Here is a 24,053-nt window from a genome sequence, read left to right as displayed (position 1 = left end):
CGTTCAGCTTTTCTTTATTGTCCACTGAAAGCTCATTATTGTGACATAAGCAATTATGTTCAAAGTGATCTCAGCAAATCAGAGGTGAGTTGATCAGCCTATGACCTATTTTTAACCAGAGTGCATCCCTTCGTTCTGTTTTCTTTCCCTCTCTCACACTAGTCATCCAGCAGTTCTATAACTTCACTGGCATATTATATTCTGAGGACAGCATATTCACTGTTTTCCCTTAGGTCATTTCAGCTTTTCATCCAATGGTGCTTAGAGACTAATCCTTTGAACACTTGGTTCTAATCCCATCTGTCAATTAGCTTTGTAGCATCCAGCAATTTATAGCATCTTTCTGGGCCTTAGCTTTTGGTGTATTAATTGAAAGGATGAGGCTTCCAACTTTACATTTTATGATATTAGGAGATGAGCAGAAAAATAACTTCCGACATAGTTTACAGCAGTTTGCCCATGTACTAAGTTAGATCTTGGAGAGTTTCTCCCAGGCTCCTTGTGAACTGCTCCACTGGTGTGGGAGAAGCCAAAGGGGCAAAGCTCAAGACGGTGTCTCCCTGGTGAGGGCAGTTACATTGGCATAAGTTGTCTAGCATAACTTGTCATGCCGACCCCTTTTCAAGATAGCAGCTTCATTCACTGATAATGTGGCAGTGTTCCCCTTCATCAGTGGAAGACATGGGATGTGTTCTAGGGGAATTTATAGTACTTGACATGTATGAGGGAAATTCTACTATCAATTAAGTACAAGAGGAAAATACGTGTCAGGTAGTTTCAGGGCATAGGGCAGGGTAAAGGTTGAGGAGGAAGCTTGGATAGCTTGACACAGGGCAGGAAGGAGAAGGCTCTGGCAGAGGCCTGGCCCCCTTGTTTAGAAGCAGCTGGAACGAGTCCTTGCTCCTCAGCAGCTGTTGGCCTCACCTTCAGGAACTGTAAGCTTGTCCTTGTGGTGGGGATGGGCTCATGGGGGTGAGGGTAGGAGCTGTGGACCATTATTTTCCTTTTTTTTCTTTTTAAAAATAAAATTTGTTCCAAGTTATACCAAGGGAAAAAAAATTTGTTCCAAGTTATACCAAGGGAAAAAAAATGAATTAAGAAAAAAATAAAAAAATTAAATGTTTTTTAGAATATTTTTTGAGTAACAGAAAAATTGTGAAGATAGTACAAAGAGCTCCCATATACCCCACACCCTGATTATTAGCATCTTAGTATGGTAGATTCATCACAATTAATGAACTAATATTGATGTATGATTAAACTCCATGCTTGATTCAGATTTCCTTAGTTTTTGCTTAGTGTCCTTTTTTGTGTTGCAGTATTCCGTATAGGAGACTGTATTACATTTAGTTGTCATATCTCCTGAGGCTCCCCTTGGCTATGACAGTTTCTTAGATTTTCCTTGTTTTTGATGACCCTGACGGTTTTGAAGAGTACTGGTCACATTTTTGTATGTTGTTCCCCTGTTGAGATTTGTCTGATGTTTTTCTCATGATCAAACTGGCTTACGGGTGTTTGAGAGGAAGATCACAGAGGTAAAGTGCCATTTTTATCACAATTCAAGGGTATATATTATTATCATGACTTTTCTACTGACCTTGATTACCTGGCAGAGGTAGTGCTTGTGAAGTTTCTCTGCTTGAAAGTTACTCTTTTTGGCATTGGCGTCCACTCTCCCTCCCCAACTGCAAGACCCCATTGCAGTAGTCCTTCAAAAGAAATTTTTTTAAAAAGTTAAGCCTTTTTCCTCTCTTTCCATACTGTAGAAAGTGAAGGAAGTCACTATGAAGTAAGAGTTATGCTACACTTAAGGAGTAAAGAATTATGCTATACCTCTTTAAGGGTAAAGTATCTACATACTTTTTTAGAAATTATTTTGCATGAAAGAGACCTTTTTTTTTGTAGAAATGGGGTCTTGCTGTGTTGTTCAGGCTGTACTCAGACTCCTGGGCTCGAGGGATCTTCTTGCCTCTGCCTCCCAAGTAGATGGGATTGCAGCCACACACCACTGCACCAGCCTAAATTCTTTAATACTCCCTTAGTTTGTTTGGTCTCTCCAAAGATCTGATTAGGATTGTCTCTAGGCCCCACCTGTTGGAGAATGTAAGCTCAATTTCTCCATCCTAATTCTGTCCAAAATATCTGATCTGTATGGATGTCTGGGAGATAATTTCATTGTATAATTAGAAAGGAAAGGCATGAAATACATTTGTCTGATTGAGGTGACCTATGACTAAGACTCATTTACACTAGAGTCCTCTGTCAGCAGGTACAAATGACTAATATAAATTCCTTTCCAATTTTGGAAATGGAGGGGAAGTTAGAGTAGGAAAGGAATTTGGAAAGCACTGGGCTAAGATAATCAAATAACAAGTTAATATTTATTGTGCACTGGGTGCCGAGACAATTCCAGTTGTTTTCAGTGTGTTTTTCTCATTTAGTCCTGGTACCAATCCTATGCAGTAGGTGTGATTGTTTCCTTCATTTAACAGATGAGGAACCTGAGGCCTAGAAAGGGTGAATAATCTCCTCAAGGTCACACAGCAAGGGAGTGACAGAATAGGATTCTGTAGCATGGACTCCTGGTTGCCTCCTTTTTTCCTCATTTCCTCCTTTTTTGGTGAATGGAATCCCTGTATTTCTGGATGTGGCAATGTACCCACCTATGAAGCTACTTCTTCCAGCCTGTTAATGAGATACAAGTAAAAGTTGTTGAATGGGGTTGCCAGGAAAGTTCTTTAAAGGGGGTTCACTCAACTGCACAGAATACCCTTTTCCCCTTACCATCTTCCTCCCACCTCCTGCCAGGAACAAGGCTGTGTAGCTCACAGTAGCCACCCTGGGCCATGAGGTTACTTTGAGGTTGGAACCGAAGCACTGAGAATAGTGGAGCAGAAAAATAGATGGCCCTGCAGTCCCTGCTGATTAGATAGAGTCACCACATGGGTTTTGATTGCCTGCCTCCTCCTTTACTTAGAAGGAAGGAATAAGAAACTCTACCTTGTTTAAGCCACTGTTATCATAGGCCTCAGCTGGCAGCTGAAGGCAGTTCCTAACTGATAGATTCTAACTTGATCTTATTGTTTCCTTCCTCTTACCACCAAGCTGTAATACATTTTGTTATAAGATACCTAGATTCTTGTTGCTATTTTGTACTTTACTGTAGTGTGACCTTGGACATGTTAGTTAGGTTTTATGAGGCCCCCACTCCACCGTTTTTTTACATCTTTGGAATAGGAATTATTCATGCCCTAACTACTCTGCAGGCTCATTATGGGGAACATGCTTGTAAACTTCAAGTGTTCATGTGTGATGTGTAGTTTTTGAAGTGGTTGTGGCCATCCTTGGGCAAGTGGAAGGGTACCAAAATGGAAGCCTTTAGAATCTGAATATAGTTTTCTGGTTTTGTTATTTTGCCTAGTGCCAACTTCATTCAGAATAAATAAATAGAAGCTGTGAAGGGAGGTGATGTTGTCCCTGCTCTGATGCATTTGAGTAGATTAACAATTGCATTGCTGATGAGCCCTAGAATGCATGCCAGGGCTGCTGCATGGGACTGAGAGTTCATTTGTTTTCAATATGGCTGCCTTCATTATACTGGAGCTTTGTTTCCAGAAGATACGTTAATCAAGGAATCATTATACTGGATGATAGTTAACTGCTTTTTCTCTGAGAGCTGGCCAAGAACAAAGGGCTCAGAAGAAAATGTTTGTACAAGATGTGGAGAATTAGTTTTTCTGGCAATAAATGTCACTATTTCCAAATAGTCCTTTGAAACTAGTGTAGAGGTGTTCACATAACACTCGAAGGCCCCCAGCATATCACCCATGTAAATGATCCTGTCTTATCTTGCTACCACACCCTTTGTTTCTTCATTCCTTCACAAAGATTCCCCTCAACATATAGGCTAGCTCAGTGGAGACTACTGGAGCTACCTGGAGATTACAAGGTAGATTGGTTACTCTCAGTGAAAGTGTAACTATTGCCAGTGGAGGGTGCGTCTGGAAGTGGGATTCATTTGGAATAAGGAATGTTATTGTAGGTTTTAAAATGTGCACAGCCTGGGCAACAAAGCAAGACCCCGACTTTATAAAAAATAAAATACGTTAGGTGGGCGCAGTGGTGTGTGCCTGTAGTCCCAGCTACTCAGGAGAGTGAGGGAGGAGGATCGCTTGAGCCCAGGTGTTTGAGGCTGCAGTGAGTCATGATTGCACCACTGCACTCCAGCCTGGGTGACAGAGTGAGACCTTATCTCTAAAATAAATAAATAAATAAATAAATAAATACATAAAATATGCAGACTTCTATTTGAATATTACTCTTAATTAGATGCTTAATAATGTGACATTCCTTTATATCACAAGTAACTTTTTATCTCTCACCTTGTTCCTTTCGTATTTCTCCTTCATGGAAAGTTTCATGAGGTATTCAACTTTATAACGTGGTTTGGTATTTCTTACACCTCTGTAGCAATGGGAACTCTAAAGAGTGCTTCTCAGACTTTGTTCTGCCTACAGATCACCTGGAGATCTTGTTCAAATGCAGATATGATGTAGTAGGTTTTGGGTAGAGCTGCAACTCTGCATTTTTTTTTTTTTTTTTGAGACAGAGTCTCGCTCATTGCCCAGGCTGGAGTACAGTGACATGATCCCGGCTCAGTGCAACCTCCCCCTCCCAGGGTCAAGTGATTCCCATACCTCAGCCTCCCAAGTAGCTGGGATTACAGGCACTCACCACCACACCCGGCTAATTTATTTATTTATTTATTTTATTTATTTTTTTTTTTTTTGAGATGGAGTCTTGCTCTGTCACCCAGGCTGGAGTGCAGTGGTGCAATCTTGGCTCACTGCAACCTTCGCCTCCCGGGTTCACACCATTCTCCTGCCTCAGCCTCCCCAGTAGCTGGGACTACAGGTGCCCACCACCAGGCCCAGCTAATATTTTTGTATTTTTAGTAGAGACGGGGTTCTTCCATGTTGGCCAGGCTGATCTCAAACTCCTGACCTGATGTGATCTGCCTACCTGGGCCTCCCAAAGTGCCGTGATTACAGGTGTGAGCCACCATGCCTGGCCGACTCTGCATTTCTAACAAGGTCCTGGTGATGCCACTGCTGGTGGTCCCTGGGCCACATTTTGAGCAACAAGGCCCTCAGTTATCTCTACTGTAGGGCCAGGCTTCTCAACTCTTGGCAGGACATCAGAATCAACTTTGAAACTTTAAAGAAAACATGTGCTCATGACCCCACCCTCAGATTTCCAGATTCATTACTTCCGGAATAGTTGCTGAGGAACTGGATTTTTAAAGTTGTATGTAAGGTGAGAATCACTGCCTTAGTATCCTATTTAAAAATATGATGTTGATTGGTTTCAGTGTGATTTCTTATAATTTGAACTGTTATGTTTTTCCATCTTAAGTAATTCATGTTGTGATAACTTTTATTCAAACAGAATAAACAGAATCCATCATGCATTTTTCTTTTTTCCCCCTTTTTCAGCTTTGTGGAGGTATAATTCACTAATGAAAATTGAATATATTCAAGATGTACAACATGATGTTTTTATATATGTATACATTGTGAAATAATTACCACAATCAAGCTAATTAAAGGATCCATCACCTCACATAGCTACCTTTTTTTTTGTTTCTTATAGTGAGAATACTTAAGTTCTCTCAGCAAATTTCAAATATAATACATTATTATTAATTATAGTCACCATGCGATATACTTGGTCTCCAGAACTTATTCATCTTATGACTAAAAGTTTAGACCTTTGAATAATACCTCCCCATTTCCCCTACCCTCACAACTCCTGGTAACCACCCTTCTGCTCTCTGGTTCTTTTATTTTTGAGACAGGGTCTCACTCTGTTGCCCAGGCCATAATGCAGTGGTGCAATCACGGCTCACTGAAGCCTTGACCTCCCGGGCTCAAATGGTCTTCCCACCTCAGCCTCCTGAGTAGCTGAGACTGCAGGGACATGCCCTGCTAATTTTTTCTTTTAAAAAATTTTTTGTAGAGATAGGGTCTTGCTCTTTTGCCCAGGCTGGCCTCAAATTCCTGGTCCCAAGTGATCCTCCCACTTTGGCCTCCCAAAGTGCTGAGATTACAGGCGTGAGGCACTATGCCCAGCCTATTCTCTGCTTCCATGAGTTTGACTTTTTTAGATTCCACATACAAGTGAGATCACACAGTATTAGTCTTTCTGTGTCTGGCTTATTTCACTTAGCATAATGTCCTCCAGGTTCATCCATGTGGTCGCAAGTGGCAGGATTTCCTCCTTCTTTTTTTTCTCTAAACAGGGTCTTGCTGTGTCACCCAGGCTGGAGTGCAGTGGCATGATCATGGCTCACTGCATCCTTGACCTCCTGGGCTCAAGTGATCCTACTTTCTCAGCATCTCAAGAAGCTGGGACTACAGGTGCTCACCACCATGCCAAGCTAATTATTATTATAATAATTTTTTGTAGAGATGCAGTCTCACTGTGTTGCCCAGGCTGGATTTCCTTCTTTTTAAAGGCTGAATAAAATTCCACTGTGTGTGTATACATATATACATGTATATATGTATACATACATATATATCTCCCTATCTCAAAGAGATATCTGCACTCCCATGTTCACTGCAGCATTATTCACAATAGCCAAGATACATAAGCAACCTAAGTGTATACATATATAATATGTATACACACACACCACATTTTGTTTATCCGTTCATTCGTCATCAGACTTAGGTTGTTTATGTATCTTGGCTATTGTGAATAATGCTGCAGTGAACATGGGAGTGCAGATATCTCTTTGAGATAGGGATTTATTGGCCAGGCATGGTGAATCATACCTGTAATCCCAGCACTTTTGGGAGGCCGAGGTGGGTGGATCGCTTAAGGTCAGGAGTTCGAGACCAGCCTGGTCAACATGGTGAAACCCCGTCTCTACTAAAAATACAAAAATTAGCCAGGTGTTGTGGTGTGCACCTGTAGTCCCAGCTACTCAGCAGGCCAAGGCATGAGAATCACTTGAACCCGGGAGGTGGAGGTTGCAGTGAGCCGAGATCCTACCACTGCACTCCAGCCTGGGCAACAGAGCAAGAGTCTAAAAAAAAAAAAAAGAGAGAGAGAGAGTGATTTATTTCCTTTGGATATATACCCAGAAGTGGCATGGCTGAATGGTAGTTCTATTTTTAATTTTTTTGAGGAACCTCTGTACTGTTTTCCATAATGGCTATACCAGTGCACCGATCAACAACATACAAGAGTTTCCTTTTCTTCACATCCTTGCCAACACATATCTTTTGATTTTTTTTTCTTTGTTTGGTGCAACAGGGTCTTGCTGTGTTGTCCAGGCTGGAGTGTGGTGGTGTGATCATAGCTCACTGCAGCCTTAAACCACTAGGCTCAAGCAATCCTCTTGCTTCAGCCTCCCGAGTAGCTGGGACTACAGGTGTGCACCACCAGTAATTTTTTTTTTTTTTTTTTTTTGTAAAGACAGAGTTTCGCTGTGTTAACCAGGCTGGTCTCAAACTCCTGGCCTCAAGTTATCCTCCTGCCTCAGGCTCCCAAAGTGCTGGGATTACAGGCGTGAGCCACCATGCTCAACTGACTTTCTTTTTGAGACAGGGTCTTAGTTATCCTCCTGCCTCAGCCTCCCAAAGTGCTGGGATTACAGGCATGAGCCACCATGCTCAGCTGACTTTCTTTTTGAGACAGGGTCTTGCTATGTCACCCAGGCTGGAGGGCAGCGGTGTCATCTCTGCTCACTATAGCCTTGACCTCCCGGGCTCAAGAAATCCTCCCACCTCAGCCTTCCAGGTAGCTGGGACTACAAGTATGTGCCACCATACCCAGCCAATTTTTAAATTTTTTGTAGAGACTGGGTCTCAATGTGTTGCCCAGGCTGGCCTAGAACTTCTGGACTCAAGTGATCCTCCTGCCTTGGCCTCCCAAAGTGCTGGGATTACAGGAGTGAGCTGTCATGCCCAGCCTCTGGCTGACTTTTTGATAATACCCATCCTAGCAGATGTGAGATGGTATCTAATTGTGGTTTTGATTTACATTTCCCTGATGGTTAGTAATGAGTACCTTTTCGTGTACCCATTGGGTGTTTGTATACCTTCTTTGAAAAAACATCTATTCATCTTTTGCCCATTTTAAAATCTGGGGTTTCTTTTGCTATTAATACGAGTTCCTAATATATTTTGGATATTAACCCCTTATCAGATATATGGTTTGCAAATATTTTTTCCTGTTCCATGGGTTTCCTTTTATTTTTTCCTTTGCTTTGCAGAAACTTTTTAGTCCCGCCATGAATTTTATACATGGATTTTAGTCAACTCCTGTATCGTTTTATAGTCTAAGTAGGCTCCACATAAAGAACAGTGTGGTGAGTTATCATTGAAGTAACTGGAAAGCACTGTATGTGTTCATTATGTTCTTTCAGCTTGCAAGAAATGGGCATGCTCACCTTAGCTGATGGAGGCTTATTGGAAGGATATACATGTAAGTTGAAAGACATGGAAAATATCTCTGGGCCCGGTGGCTCACGCCTGTTATCCCAGTACTTTGGGACACCAAGGCGGGTGAATCACTTGAGGTCAGGAGTTCAAGACGAGCCTGGCCAACATGGCGAAACCCCATCTCTACTAAAAATACAAAAATTAGTTGGGCATGGTGGTGTGCACCTGTAATCCCAGCTACTCGGGAGGGTGGAGCATGAGAATTGTTGAACCCAGGAGGTGGGGGCTGCAGTAAGCCAAGATTGCGCCACCGCACTCTAGTCCCGGTGGGTGACAGAGCAAGACGTCTAAAAAAATAAAAGAAAAAAGAAAGACGCAGGAAGCAGTTTCAGAAGGTATTTGAAAATGAGAGTAACTCTAAAAAACTGATAGCAAATAGCTACTCTGGAGAACATTTTTTAATAAGTTGGAATGACTTTGTTGCTCCTTATGGTTAGTGACACTACAGTTTATTGATGTCTGCTTCCATGGCTTCTAAGGTACTAAATAATTGGCTGTCTTTTGTTTTTCTCACAGTCAGCCTCCCCAAGAAAGAGGCTCTAAGTAGGTTGGTCAGCCACAATTCTGCACAGGATGGCCTTTTGCAGCAGGGTTCTTATGCCCATTTACCTTGGAGGTGTATGGCAAACCCATAGAGAGCTGCCTTTTCAAACCCATCCCAGGTCCCTTTGGGGCAAGATGGCAGAGTCTTGTGGTACCCACATGGCTCACCTAGAAATGCCTGCAATTGCTTTTGTCTGATGGGACCTAGGGCCTGTGGGGGGTACCTTAAGGTTTCTCAGAATGGAAAGAGGGTAAAGTTGGTAGGCTCCAGGAATAAACTGACCACTCTGACTTTCAGCAATGTGAGATTCCTGAGGGAAGAGGCTTACTTTGTTCATATCCCTCATAACTCAGAACAGTGCTTGACACATGTGCTCAGTACATAGCTGTCAAATAGGACAGTCTTGAGTTTTTTAAAAGATGTTTTAGGCTGGGCATGGTGGCTCATGCTTGTAATCCCAGCACTTTGGGAGGCCGAGGTGGGTGGATCACTTGAGGTCAGGAGTTCAAGACCAGCCTGGCCAACATGGTGAAACCCCATCTCTACTAAAAATACAAAAATTAGCTGGGTGTGGTGGCCCGTGCCTGTAATCCCAGCTATTCGGGAGGCTGAGGCAGGAAAATCACTTGAACCCGGGAGGTGGAGGTTGCAGTGAGATCGCACCATTGCACTCCAGCCTGGGCAGTAACAGCAAAACACTGTCTGAAAAAATAATAATAAAATAAATAAAGATGGTTTAACGTAGTCTTTATTTTTAGTTCGATTACATTTCATTCTAACTGGAACTCTTATGTACACAAGGTTGGAAGGCAAATCCCTCTTCTGCTCATGGCTCACCCTGTGGAGGGGAAACCACGCATGCTAATATGCAAAACTTCACGTTTTCCTGTTTCTTTGTTAGTCCTGAGCGCTTTAGATGTTTGCCGTTTGGTGTCAATACAACTGACCCAGGCTTTGAGCTGCTGCACAGTTCATGGATGTCAAATCCAGGCCCAAAGGCCTTCCCAACTATCCTCAGAGACAGCAAAGGGGCCTCGCAAGGCCTCAAACTCCTGAACGTGATGCCCTTTGTCAGGCCCTGCGGGCACACACCTGCCTGACGGGTCTAGCACCAGGAACTCTGGGAAGGCAGAGCCTAAGGGTTGGCGCCCAGACGCGAGTGGCTTTTTGGGCTCACGAGGGCTGCGCCACCTTGGGTCCTGATTAATTTGGCTTTTGAAGCTTAAATGTAGATTTGGATATTTGGCCAAAGAAGGCTCATGTTGTTCAGGTAAGAAGGGAGACACTAAAAAGATAGAAGTCATCATTAGGGGCCGGGCGCAGTGGCTCACGCCTGTAATCCCAGCACTTTGGGAGGCCGAGGCGGGCGGATCACGAGGTCAGGAGATCGAGACCATCCCGGCTAAAACGGTGAAACCCCGTCTCTACTAAAAATAAAAAAAAAAAATTAGCCGGGCGTAGTGGCGGGCGCCTGTAGTCCCAGCTACTTGGGAGGCTGAGGCAGGAGAATGGCGTGAACCTGGGAGGCGGAGCTTGCAGTGAGCCGAGATCCCGCCACTGCACTCCAGCCTGGGCGACAGAGCGAGACTCCGTCTCAAAAAAAAAAAAAAAAAAAGAAGTCATCATTAGGAGTGATTGCAGCAGCTGCTGCTTTTTAAAACCCCAAACCCTGAAAATTGTAAGGAATGATGCGGGAGAGTGGATGATAAAGATATTTGAGAAGGAATCTACTGAGTTAGTGACATGGGATGCAGAGCCTGAACATGAGGGACAAGTCCAGTGTTGCTGACGTTTCATGAGTTGGAAAAAGGTGGTTACCATTTGACAGCCTCTTCAGGAAAGGGACAGTGACACTGAACATTTAGTATTAAACCTTAATTACAGCGCGTTTGCTATTAGTGTTAAATTTAATGATGAGTACTTACATAGCATTTAGAACAAACCTTTCAATAGCTCCTTGAGCACATGGGTTTTGCAAACCTTGTAGAATGTAATTTGGTATTGCTCACCTCATAGGTTTCCAATGAATGTTTAATGAAGTTAATGAAGAATTGGGGTTTTAATTCCAATATTCTTTTTTCCCCTGTTTTAGTTGAGTCTCCAGCTTTCTTACTTATTCCTGTAGTAGACTTTTTTAAAAAGTACCAACTTTTTAGCATATCTGAATAAAATATTCATCAATCATTTATTTATACTAAATATGTGTCAGGAACTCCTGTAATTCTCCTAACAATCCTGGAAGGCAGGTTCTTTTGTCATCCTGTTATTAAAATAAGAAAAATGACGTAAACAGAAGTTAAGTGCAGCTGAGATTTGAATCCCTGTAGTCTTTTCTTCTTTAATTTTTAAATGTACATACAGTAAAATTGGCTTCTTTTTGGTGAACAGTTCTATGAATTTTATTACACATGTAGTTTCTTGTGGCAACTACCATAGTCACCATACAGAACAGTTCCATCACCTGGAAATTCCCTGGGCTGACTTTGTAGTCAGACCTGTGCACGCCTTTCCACTGGCAACCAATGATCTGCTCCCTGTCTGTATAATTTTGCCTTTCCTAGAATATTAAATAAATGAATTCATAAAGTATTAATATATAACCTCTGAGACGGGCTTCTTTTACTCAGGAGAATGCCTTGGACATTGATTCATTTTGTTACTATATCAATAGTTTGATCTGTTTTACTGCCAAGTAGTAGTCTATTGTGTGAGTGTACCAGTTTGTTTATGCTGGTACACAATATCCTGATGAAGGATATTTAGATTGTTTTCAGTATTTGATGATTATGAATAAGCTGCTGTAAACATTTGTGTACAGGTTTGCTGGATCATATGGTAAATATAAATTTAACTTTATAATAAATTTCCAAACTGTTTTCCAGAGTGGCTATCCTGTTATGTGTTATCACCAGCAATGTATGAGAGTTCTCATTGTTCTGCATTCTCACCAGCACTTGATGCTGCTAGATTTTTTCTAGTTTTTATTTGTTTGTTTTTAGCCATTTTAATAGAGGTGTAGTGATATTTCATTGTAATTTTAATTTACATTTTCCTTTTGGCTAATGATATTGACCATCTGTTCATATGGTTAATTGCTATCCATATGTCATCTTTGGGGAAGAATGTTCAAATCTTTGCACATTTAAAAATTGGGTTGTTTAAATATGTTCAAAGAGCTAAAGACACTGTTAAATAGAATAAAAAGATAAGCTACAGACTAGGAGAAAATATTTTCAAATCATATATCCAACAAAAGATTTGAATGTAGAATACATAAAGAGCTCCCCAAACAATAATACAGAAGTATAAAGTCTTTGTCTAGTAAATCCAGCATCTGGGCTTCCTCAGAAAGAACAGTTTGTATTGATTACTTTTTTTTCTGTGTATGGGCCATATTTCTTATTTCTTTGCATACCTTGTATTTACAAGTTGAAAACTGAACATTTTGAATATTATAATGTAACAGCTCTGGAAATCAGATTCTTCTCCCTTCCCAGGGTTTGTTATTGCTGCTTGTTATGGTTGTGGTTGTTTGTTTAGTGACTTCTCTGAACTAATTTTGTAAATCCTATATTCTTTGTCATGCATGACACTGAATTTTCAGTTTCATTAGCTTAGTGGTCAGCTAGTGATTGGACAGAGGTTTTTGTTTTGTTTTGTTTTGTTTTGTTTTATGCCTAGAACCAAAAAGAACCTCCCAGCTTATGCAGATGGGCTCTTGTGTTTTGACACACCTTCAGTACTCAGACAGGCAGTTTACAAGTCTGCTTTGCCTTTACTTCTTTGTGCATATTCTGACAGTCAGCCAGAGGTGGCAGCTTAGGGCCTTCTCAGGTCTTTTCTGAGCATATGCCCATCCTGGTAATACAGTTGGCCTTCTAGATTCCCAGGAATATGTGGGAGCTATTCAAAGCCTGTATTCCTCAAACCATCTCATTCTCTAGCCTATCTTCCCAACCTTTTTGGTTAGCTTATTGTTTGCCCCAACTGTTATCCTTGTGCAGCAGCAACTAATATATTTGCTTGTCAGTGTTTTCAGCAAGTGCCCTCTAGCTAGCCACTTTTGCACTGATAATTCCAAATTAGGTAAGGTAAAAGAAAGTCTTCTCCAGGGAGAAACCAGACAGGTCAAGACAAATTATTACAGTTCTTTGTGAATAAGGTTGGTTTTGTTCTCTCTAGTCCTGATATTGGTACCAGGAATGCAGGCTAACATTTTTAAGGTTCCCACTGAGCTGGGAAGAGGGAAGGGACCAGGGTAAGTTAAAAATGCCACAAAGCTCAATATTCTAACCACAATCCAGCTAGTTTTTCTGGATTCAGTGTTTCATTAGTTGCTACAAGCTTTTGGTTGGTTTCTAGAGTTCTGAAAAGTTGATTCTGCCAGTTTCTATCAGGTTTTTATTGCTTTTATGGAGGGATAGACTTTTGGAGGTCTTAACTCTGCCATTTTTTCTGATGTCACTCAGATATGTCAAATATGGCTTAAAGAAAAAAACTGATTAAGATAATCAGAGCTGGGTTGGGTAGTATGTGCCTCTAGTCCCAGCTACTCAGGATACTTAAGTGGGAAGATTGCTTGAGCCTACGAGTTTGAATCCAGCCTGGGCAACAGAGTGAGGACCCTATCTCTTAAAAAAAAAAAAATCTGCTTTTATGAGTAAACCAGCCCAAGTTTAAAAAAAAAAATGAGAGAGCAAGAGAAGGTAGGGATACTCTTAACCCATTTTTAAGTTTTTCTACATTCTACAGTAGCATTATCAAGGTGTTTTTATAAAGAGGAGCCTCACTCAGCTGGTTACAGTGCTGGGCTCAAACCCCTCATTCAGACCTTGAATGGGCAGCTTACTTTTCTCATTTCTAGGCCATATACCACCCCAAACCCCTTTGTTACTTTTCAAAACATGATATCCAAGGGATATCTGGCCAGGGGAACTCTATATTCCTCTTTGTTGTTAAAGTAGCTCAGAGGAAGTAGCTTTACTGCACCGTTCTGAACAAATCAGTCATGTTAAAACATAATGTATGGCTAATACTCTGGGGAGTGGAATCGAGGAGGGCCTGGAGTGTGTCACTTTATACTTCTGTATTGTTTCAGTTACTTACAATGAATGTTTATTACTTTCAAAATTAAAGAAAAATAAATTTAAAATACTGTGAGAAATAATTGGCTGCTGGTCCAGTATATTTCTTGCTCATATTATGGTATTTTTAAAAACCTATTTTTCCCTAAAATGAATTACTGTAATAATCATAGCAAATGCCATCCTGTTAATAAAAGAAATGATTGATAATCTATTCAAGAAAATGGTGGTTGGAAGGAGTGTATAATTGTGTTTCCTCTGAAGATCATTTTTCAAAACACTGGCTAATTTATCATTTGTTTACCTGTTTGGTCTCATGACATTTACTTCTTTTCGTGAAAGCTATAATCACTCGAAAAGCAAATCCTCATTTATAACCAAACTGTTGAAAGCTGTTTAACATAATCAAAACCTATCTTTAGCATTCCCTGCTTTATTTATTGTGTGTATTTCATCTCCATCTTGTGACCCAACAGAACCTGTTCTAGAGGACTAGATTCAGAAGACATGCATTCTTTTTTTCTTTTTTCTTCTTATACTTTAAGTTCTGGGGTACATGTGCACAACATGCAGGTTTGTTATATATGTATACATGTGCCATGTTGGTGGCTGCACCCATTAACTCGTCATTTACATTAGGTATATCTCCTAATGCTATCCCTCCCCCCTTCCCCCACCCCACGACAGGCCCCGGTGTGTGATGTTCCCCACCCTGTGTCCAAGTGTTCTCATTGTTCAGTTCCCACCTATGAACATGCGGTATTTGGTTTTCAGAAGACATGCATTCTAATGCTCAGCCTCCCACTAGCCCGCTATATGACCTTGATTTAATCTCTCAGATTCTTCATTGACAGTATGAAAGATTTAGACCCAGAGCCCAGGCTCACTGACTGTTTTTGTGAATAAAGTTTCATTGTCTATAGTCGTTTTTTCCTACATCTGCAGAGTTGAGTCATTGCAACAAAGTCCACGTGGTCTGCAAGCCTAAAATACTTACTATCTCACTCTTTACAGAAAAAGTTTGCTAACTCCTACCAAGTTTCTTTTCAGGTTCAAAATTCTTTGTTCTAGTTTTGGAATACTTGGGCCAACTATTTTTTTCATCAGGTTTCTTCTTAGCAAATCACCAGAAAAATTTGACTTGAAGAGGGGAAACACCAATAAGTCATACATTCTTATTTGTTAGACACCAGTACCTGTCATATTTTGTTGTTAATGCTGTGATTACAAACAACCTCTAGAGCTCAGTATTGTGTAACAGTTATATTCAACTGGTGAGATGTAGCTCAGCCTCACCTGTGGTGCTCATTCTGGGATCCTGGCCGAAGGAGCAATCCCTATCTGGGAAAAAGATAGCAAAGCATGTACCAGTGTTTATAACGATGCTCAGAAGTGACATGTATCACTTCTACTCACTTCTTTGGTTAACCTGACATTAATGGTGTGGGGGTCCTGCAAGTTACATGGTACCTTGAGTGGCTGGATAATCTTTTTACACAGAGGGCAGTGAATCATTGGGAACAACAAAGTCATTTACCACAGCCTTCTTAAGGGCTTGCTAGTTTGAGCAGACCAAAACTCATGGCAAAAAACTTGGTTTTGGACCTCTTTGTGTGTTATTCTTCATAAACTCCTTGCAAATAATAGTCACTAGAAATTAGCCCAGGGAGCTTTTGGAATATATTGTAGTTCTCTCAGTTTGCTTATTTAATGCTCAATGTAAGAATGTAATGTGCCTTTGGGTTTCCTTTTTGTAGAGTCTTGATATCTTTAACTTATTGTATTGGTCCATTCTCACCCTGTTATACAGAAATAACTGAAACTGGGTAATTTCTTTTAAAAAGAGGTTTAATTGGTTCATGATTCTGCAGGCTGTACAGGAAGCATGGCTGGGGAGGCCTCAGGGAGGTTTCAATCATGGCAGAAGGCGAAGTTGGGAAGCAGGCACATCTTCACATGGCGAGAGCAAGAGGAAGAGAGAGAGCGGGGAGTGCCACACACCTTTAAAACAAGCAGATCTCTGGCCAGGCGCGGTGGCTCACGCTTGTAATCCCAGCACTTTGGGAGGCTGAGGCGGGCGGATCACCTGAGGTTGGGAGTTGGTGATGAGCCTGACCAACATGGAGAAATCCTGTCTCTACTAAAAATACAAAATTAGCTGGGTGTGGTGGCACATGTCTGTAATCCCAGCTACTCAGGAGGCTGAGGCAGGAGAATTGCTTGAACCTGGGAGGTGGAGGTTGTGGTGAGCCGAGATTGCGCCATTGCGCTCCAGCCTGGGCAACAAGAGCAAAACTCTGTCTCAAATAAATAAATAAAAACAAGCAGATCTCACGAGAACTCTGTTGTGAGAACAGCCCCAATGGGGGATGGTGTTAAACCATGGAGAAGCTACTCCCATGATCCAATCACCCCCCATCAGGCCCCATTTCCAGCTTGAGGATTACAATTTGACATGAGATTTGGGTGGGGACACAGATCCAAACCGTATCACTTACATTTCTTACCTCTAAACTATTTCTGTGCCAAGGTTCTATATCTCATTGAATGACAGACACCACAAGTTGCCCAAGCCAGAAAGCTGGGTGAAGTACTTAACTTCTTCCCTCACCACAATTGCCTACATATAGTCAGTCAATTACCAGATTCTATTAAATCTATCTCTGATGTAGGTCCTGATTCTGTCTACTTGTCTCCATCTTCATTGCCACTGTCCTGTTCCAGGTACCTCTGGCTGTTTGCAACAGACTTCAAACTGGCCATTCTGTGTCCTGACTTGTTTCTCTAATCCATTCTCTATACAACCACCAAAGCAATTTTTATAAAACACAAACTGATCATGTTATTTCCCTGAATTAAAACATTTCAGTGGTTTGTACATTATACCTCCGCCTAAAAGCTCAAATTTCTTAACATGGCCATACACCTTAAAAAAAAAAAAATGGAATGCTTGATGAATTTGCATGTCACCCTTGCCATGCTAATCTCGGTATCTTTCCAATTTTAGTATACGTGTTGCTGACGTGAGCACATGGCCATACTACCTTTTATTCCCTTTATTTTTTTTTAGTATTCCTAGTTCTGTCCATTTACACTCAGCTTACATGGCTTTAAAAATATAATCTTCTAGAAATTTTTTCCCTAGAGCATATTTTATGAACTCAGTATTTGCTAAATGTTTTTTTCATTTGTAGAGACTCAAACACTTGATTTAAAAAAAATTGTGCAAAGCTGATGTGTATAGTATCACGCATAGTCCAATGCACAATGCTCCCATCCTGCTGCTCAATAGGTTGTTCCTTCTCAGAAGGGCTGTAAAGAAAGCTAGGTTGACATTTTTTTTTTTTGAGATAGAGTTTCACTCTTGTTGCCCAGGCTGGAGTGCAATAGCATGATGTCGGCTCACTGCAACCTCCGCCTCCTGGGTTCAAGCAATTCTCCTGCCTCAGCCTCCCGAGTAGCTGGGATTACAGGCATGCACCACCACGCCTGGCTAATTTTGTATTTTTAGTAGACATGGGGTTTCTCCGTGTTGGTCAGGCTGGTCTCGAACTCCCGACCTCAGGTGATCTGCCCGCCTTGGCCTCCCAAAGTGCTAGGATTACAGGCGTGAGCCACCACACCCGGCCGACATTGGTTTTATTTCTTTCGCTGCAACCTGTTTTTAGAAGTTTAAAATAGGGCTATTTTGGAACTAGTTGTTTATTGGACCTCTTTAAATGGGTTAGCGTATTTTTCCTTGTATGACACTTAACTCAGCAGCCTCTGGATAAAAAGAATGTGAGACACAAGTGCATTTTTTTTCTTGTTTATGGTACTGTCTCCTTGAGGTCTTTCATATTAGCCCTCTGTTCCAGAAATTAAAATAACTTCATTGAACTCATAAGGGAATAGGAGATTTGTCCTAAAATCCAAACTTGGCTTTGAAGATGCTACAGTGATTTTAATTTTTTTTTTTTTTTTTTTTTGAGACGGAGTTTCGCTCTTGTTGCCCAGGCTGGAGTGCAGTGGCGCAATCTCGGCTCACCGCAACCTCCGCCTCCGAGGTTCAAGCGATTCTCCTGTCTCAGCCTTCCCAGTAGCTGGGATTACAGGCATGCGCCACCACGCCAGGCTAATTTTGTATTTTTAGTGGAGACGGGGTTTCTCCATGTTGGTCAGGCTGGTCTCGAACTCCTGACCTCAGGTGATCCGCCCGCCTCGGCCTCCCAAAGTGCTGGGATTACAGGCGTGAGCCACTGCGCCCAGCCATGATTTTAATTTTTTAAGGCCACAATGTTTTCATTATTTAAAATGTGTTGATACAGATTTCTTTGATCAACCAATTGCTATTTTTTGTTTTTATCTAACCTAGTAGTATGGAATTTTTAATAAAATTAATCAAACCTGTGAACTCTGAAGCTTTGCAGTAGTTGCAACCATAGCTTTCTGTTATCATAAACTAATTTTAAAAAGCAAGCTTAATTTTAACAAGCAAGATTTTAAACATTTAAAAAGGAATCAGTGGCATATTGACCATGACCAAATCCTTAAGTATGAGAAGAAAGGTTAGAGGGTGATGGTGAGGAACACTACGATTATGTGGGGGATTTGAACTTTTTATGTAAGGTATTTCTGTGACATTTTGTTTTTTGTTTTGATAAGTAGAAGTGGAAAAGGGGTTTTTAAGTTTTTTGAAGTGAAATGATATTCAGTTTCTTCCTCCGTAGGGAGGCAGCAATCTTACTGGGGTTAGAATAGGCTGCTTCGTGATTATATATAATGTTCTGGGAGTTCTATGAATATAGGGAATTCTTGAACATCTTGAAATTATATAAAAAATATTGTAAATGTGCATGAGTGCTTTCTTGGATGCAGTGTTAAAGGTGATGTGGAGAAGAGGGTCCATGATTCAAACAGATTGTGCTTTTATTTCTCTAGTCCTGCCCTCTCTTCTGAACTCTAGACTGCCTATTCAGCATCTTTACTTCGACATCTAATAGGCCTCTCAAATCTAAAATGTCTGCATTTAGTTTCCTATTGCTGTTATAACAAATTAGCTACAAATTTAATGGCTTAAAACAACGTGAATTTGGCTGGGCGCGGTGGCTCACGCCTGTAATTCCAGCACTTTGGGAGGCCGAGGCGGGAGGATCACGAGATCAGGAGATTGAGACCATCCTAGCCAACATGGTGAAACTTCCTCTTTACTAAAAATACAAAAATTAGCTGGGCATGGCGGCGGGTGCCTGTAGTCCCAGCTACTCAGGAGGCTGAGACAGGAGAATCTCTTGAACCTGGGAGGCGGAGGTTGCAGTGTGCCGAGCTACACTCCAGCCTGGTGACAGAGCGAGACTCCGTCTCAAAAAAAAAAAAAAAAAAAAAAAATTTATTATTCTGTAATTCTGGAGGTCTAAAGTCTGAAATCAATTTCACTGAGCTAAAATCAAGGTGCTGGCAGGACTGCATTCCGTCTGTAGACTCTAGGGGAGAATCCTGTTTTTGCCTTTTCTAGCTCCTAGTGGCCACCTGTATTGCCTGGCTCATGGCCCCTTGCTCTATCTTCAAAGCCAACAGTGTAGCATCTTCATTCCTCTCTTCTTTCTGCTTCCATCCTTCTGTCTTCTGCATACTCTCATTAGTATACCTGGCCCTGATCCTCCTATCTTACTCTTATAAGAAGCCATGTGATTGATTACATTGGTCCCACCAGATAATACAGATGATGTCCCCATCTCAGGATACTTAATCATATGTGCAAAATCCCCTTTACTACGTGTAGTAACATATTCACAGATTCTGGGGATTAGAACATGGACGTCCTTAGAGGGGCTATTGTTTAGCCTACCATTTGATTTCTCTGCTTGGCAAATCTATTCCTCCTCTAGCCTTCCTCATTTTATTTAATGGTACAACATTCTCAGGCCAGTAACCTATGGTCATTCTTGATTTCTCTTTGTCTTTATTTTTTCCTTCTACCATCTACATCCAATTCATTAAATTACATCCAAATCCAAACAATATGTTATCTTGCTTCTACTACCCAACTGTCTCTAGATTTGTCTTCTTCTCACTAATTTTCACTAAAAGCAGAGTAGCATTAGCATTCTGGAGCCATAGGCCCTCATCCTATCCTATTCTTTTCACTCCTTGGTGTTCAGAGATAATTATAGCACAAGGCTATGTGGGCTAAGTGTCATAAGAATGGCACACAAAGTGCCACAGGACTAGATTCCAATTACTTTATCCAACTACATGGAGATGGAAAGTGAAGGCTTACATAGTAGTAGACAGTGGAGAGAATTTAGGTTGGTTGAGGATAATTATCCTGGAAGGCAAATAGAATTTCCATTAAAGATTTCTATCTTTTTTATTCTTCAGACAGTGAATGTTTCTTCTCAATTATTAATAGCCGAGAATACATTAATCTGATTTCTGATTATTTTGAATGACTCCTCCCCTTCCTCCTTTTCCTGAAGCAATATATTTTAAAAAGTTCTCAGGGAGCTGATTTCTAGTGTGTGGATAGACTATACACAGTTGGGCAGGAAGAATGAAGTGAAACATTTGAAAAGAAAACATTCACTGTCGAAATAATATCAAAATATAGCTTTGACATTTTATTATTCTGAATCCTTTTTCTGTAATGTCCTCACATTTTTGGGGTAACATTACAGTTTAGTGGAATATAGGGAAAAAATGGGTCATTATTTGAACTAGTCTATTGAAAAAGATCTGGAAATAACTAAATTTACAAATCTTCCCCACATTTAGGAAAAAAATTGCTCATAGGATTTTTAGCAACCTTTATTTGTTAAAATCTCACCTTAATTAAAATTTCTCAAGATGTGTGAAATGAAAATTGAAGCATATTAAAATCAGATATTCCACAGAATAAAATATTCTGCAAATTTATATTCATTTTTAAGGCAGAAATGCTGTATTGAGCCCCATAAAAGTAAAGGTGTCCCTATTATTTCCTCCTCATTTGTGGTGTTACTGATTAAATTAGTTACCAGTAAATAATAAGTTTGTTTTGTGAATGCATATGTTTATTGTGTGTTTATTTATTTATTTATTTTCTGCAGGGGACAGGCTCTTAAGTGTACACTGGGTGGCCGCCTGCCAACTCCGAGTGGCTCCCTCCCCCACACAAATGTTTATTGATCTTTTTCCCTCCAGTAATGTGTTACCAGGTGCTGTATCTCATGTTTGGGGTTGAACTTTTCATTTTATGTCTTAGCAATTGAAACAAAATGTACATAGGTAGGTTGAGCTTTTCTTTGAAATAGAATCACAGAAATCGTTTAGATCTGTGAAGAGCCCTAAATATATTACAAATGAGGAATTATTTGTATACTTGAAGCAGGAGAGAAACTCCCTGTTCATGTTTTAAAAATAGCTTCAATGAGTTATAAATCGCATACCATACAGTTTACCTATTCCCTGTTAATTTTTTTAAAATTCTCTTTTTTTCCCTATTACTCTTAAAAACGATTTTCTTTCTTTCTTTCTTTCTTTCTTTTTTTTTTTTTGAGACGGAGCCTTGCTCTGTCGCCAGGCTGGAGTGCAGTGGTACGATCTCAGCTCACTGCAACCTCCGCCTCCTGGGTTCAAGTGATTCCCCTGCCTCAGCCTCCTGAGTAGCTGGGACTACAGGCTCATGCCATCATGCCTGGCTAAATTCTTGTGTTTTAGTAGAGACAGGGTTTCACCATGTTGGCCAGGATGGTCTTGATCTCCTGACCTCGTGATCCGCCCGCCTCAGCCTCCCAAAGTGCTGGGATTATAGGCGTAAGCCACTGCACCCGGCCTAAAAACCGTTTTCTAGGGTTCTTTTAATGTGTTTTTTAGATATTCACTGCCTCCTTTTCTAATCAGTGGGCAGAAATAAGTGGGTTGAGGTATCAAAAGAAAGGTATTCCAGGTGTAGAGGACAGAGGAAATAAAGCCTTGAGGTGGAAATGGAATGAAGAAATCAGAACACTTGTCTGAATAAGAAGAAAACAAACAGGAAGTGAGTTAGCTGTTTTGGTGATGAATTCCGAAGTCAAAGGTAAGAAACTTGGGCTGTACCTTTCTCAAGTCACTTGGTAAATAGGGCCTTACTCTAAGGACAGTGCAGATAAAGAATAGGGGACGGTAAGACAGCACATAGCCTCATGTGGAAACTCACTGATATTCAGGATACAGCAGTCCTTGTTTCACTCAGCTCTACTTCAGTGCCTTGGTGTCTGATTCTTTCTCTCTGCTTTTTGTTCTGACTCTGCTACCATCTGACTGCCCTCTTTGCCATCCTGGCCCCCTCCTGGCCTCTGCATATTCCCATGAGCAGTGGTGTGGGATTCTCTACTCTTCTGTTCTTTCATCATTCCCTTGCTCTCACTTCACCAGTGGCTTCTCATGTCACTGAGAATGAAATTCAGAGTCCTTACTGAGGCCTAGTAGCTTCTGCAGGACCTGGCCCCTGCTCCCTTTCTTTCTGGTCTCAGTTCATACACCTTTCCACCTTTGCTCACAGTGTCCCAGCCACATTGACCGGCCTGTTCTTCCTCACACCCACCTAAACTCAGAACCTTTGTACTCGCTGTTTACTCGACCGCACCTTCTCTCCTTTTTTAGTCCTTGCTTCCCTCCTCTGTTTAGGCCTCTATCAAATGTCACCTCCTCAGAGAACCTTCCCTGACCACCCTAAGGTGGGATTTCCCATCCTGATACTCTTATCTGCTTCTCTTATTTTATTATCAGGCTTTCTTGTACATGACATTATTATAATATGAATTTATTTTGCATTTGGTTATTGTCTGTCTTCCACTGCAATGTAAACTACTTGAAGCCCAGCTTGATTTGTTATATTTACTGTAGTGTCCTCCATGCCTGGAATGGTACCTGGTACATGGTGGGCACTTAATACTGTTGAATGCACGTAGACATACTGTATGACTGACATTTGGATTTCTCCAGAGGAGGGTCTGTTGTGTTGTCCAACACTGAGTGCATCTGTTGGGTAACATGCTGGGCTAACTGCCCCACCACCCCCTGGGCAACTGTTGTGTTAGGTGCCTACCCTTGGTGCATCCACCCAGTAGTGATGAAGATAGTGAGATCATGTCTTATTCTCTTGATATTCCTTTTTTTGCAGTTGCATGGCCTGGTCCTTCCTTTAAGTTTCAACTCCTTGTTAATGAGAAAAATGTTGCCAGATCCTATGCTGTGGAACAGTTACTTCCAATTTCAAACTAACTTGTATTTAACTGATATTTGAAAACCTACTTTGTGCGAAACATTGTGTCAGGTTCTGGGCTACCTCCATAAACAATATCCAGGTTCTCACAGTACAGTTAGGGAGACAAGCTGAATATTACTCATTGATTTTTTTCAACAAATTATTGAGACTAGGATACAGTGGTGGATAAAAACAAAAATTCTTACGTGGACTTACAGTTTGATAAGATAGACATATGTTAATTAGACAACTACATAAATGAATGTTCAATTATAGCTATGTTGAGTTCTATAAAGGAGGGCTTCATAGTGCTATGAGAATTAGGAGGACCTGTCCTGGTTAGGAGAGATGGGGATAGCTTCCTTGAGGAAGTGAAGGGTAAATTGAGATCTGAAGGCACAGTAAGAATTAACTAGACAAGGGCAGCAGGGGAGAGGGAATAGTAGATGCAGAAGTCTGGTGCTGAAAGGGTGCTTAGAATGTTTGAAGAAGTTTAAGCATAGAGAATAGGCTGGAAAGTGAGCCAAATGAGGCTGAAGAGACAGGCTGGGGTCAGATTGGCCGGACTTTGTAGGCCACAATAAGGGATTTTGTCCTTACTCTGTGAGCAGCAGGAGGATGCCTTTGAAGTGCTATAAGCAGGGGGAAAAGAGGAGCAGTATAAACAGTACTTTTATTTTTAAAACACTAATCTGAATGCTGTGGAG

General features: G+C 41.1%; 1 protein-coding gene and 1 pseudogene across 4 annotated transcripts in view, besides 1 other annotated feature; one reads left to right on the top strand and one right to left on the bottom strand.

Moving 5' to 3' along the window:
- The window catches only part of SH3D19 (SH3 domain containing 19), a 205,325-nt gene that overhangs the window by 7,916 nt on the left and 173,356 nt on the right, over nt 1–24,053 (top strand). The window lies entirely within an intron of this gene.
- Nucleotides 1,522–2,721: an enhancer, noted in NCBI's record as "CDK7 strongly-dependent group 2 enhancer chr4:152236121-152237320 (GRCh37/hg19 assembly coordinates)". NCBI's record gives its function as "activates an origin of replication core promoter dependent on BRD2, BRD4, P300/CBP, MED14 and CDK7 cofactors, with strong dependence on CDK7, by STARR-seq in HCT116 cells {active_cell/tissue: HCT116}" and the evidence as "EXISTENCE:reporter gene assay evidence [ECO:0000049][PMID:35650434]".
- On the bottom strand, nt 17,077–17,172 carry RNU6-1282P (RNA, U6 small nuclear 1282, pseudogene; annotated as a pseudogene).

This window comes from Homo sapiens, chromosome 4 (assembly GCF_000001405.40).
Source record: "Homo sapiens chromosome 4, GRCh38.p14 Primary Assembly".
In the NCBI taxonomy this organism is placed as follows: Eukaryota; Metazoa; Chordata; class Mammalia; order Primates; family Hominidae; genus Homo; species Homo sapiens.
Note: the sequence above shows the minus strand (reverse complement) of the source record. Positions and strands in the feature narration are given on the sequence as shown.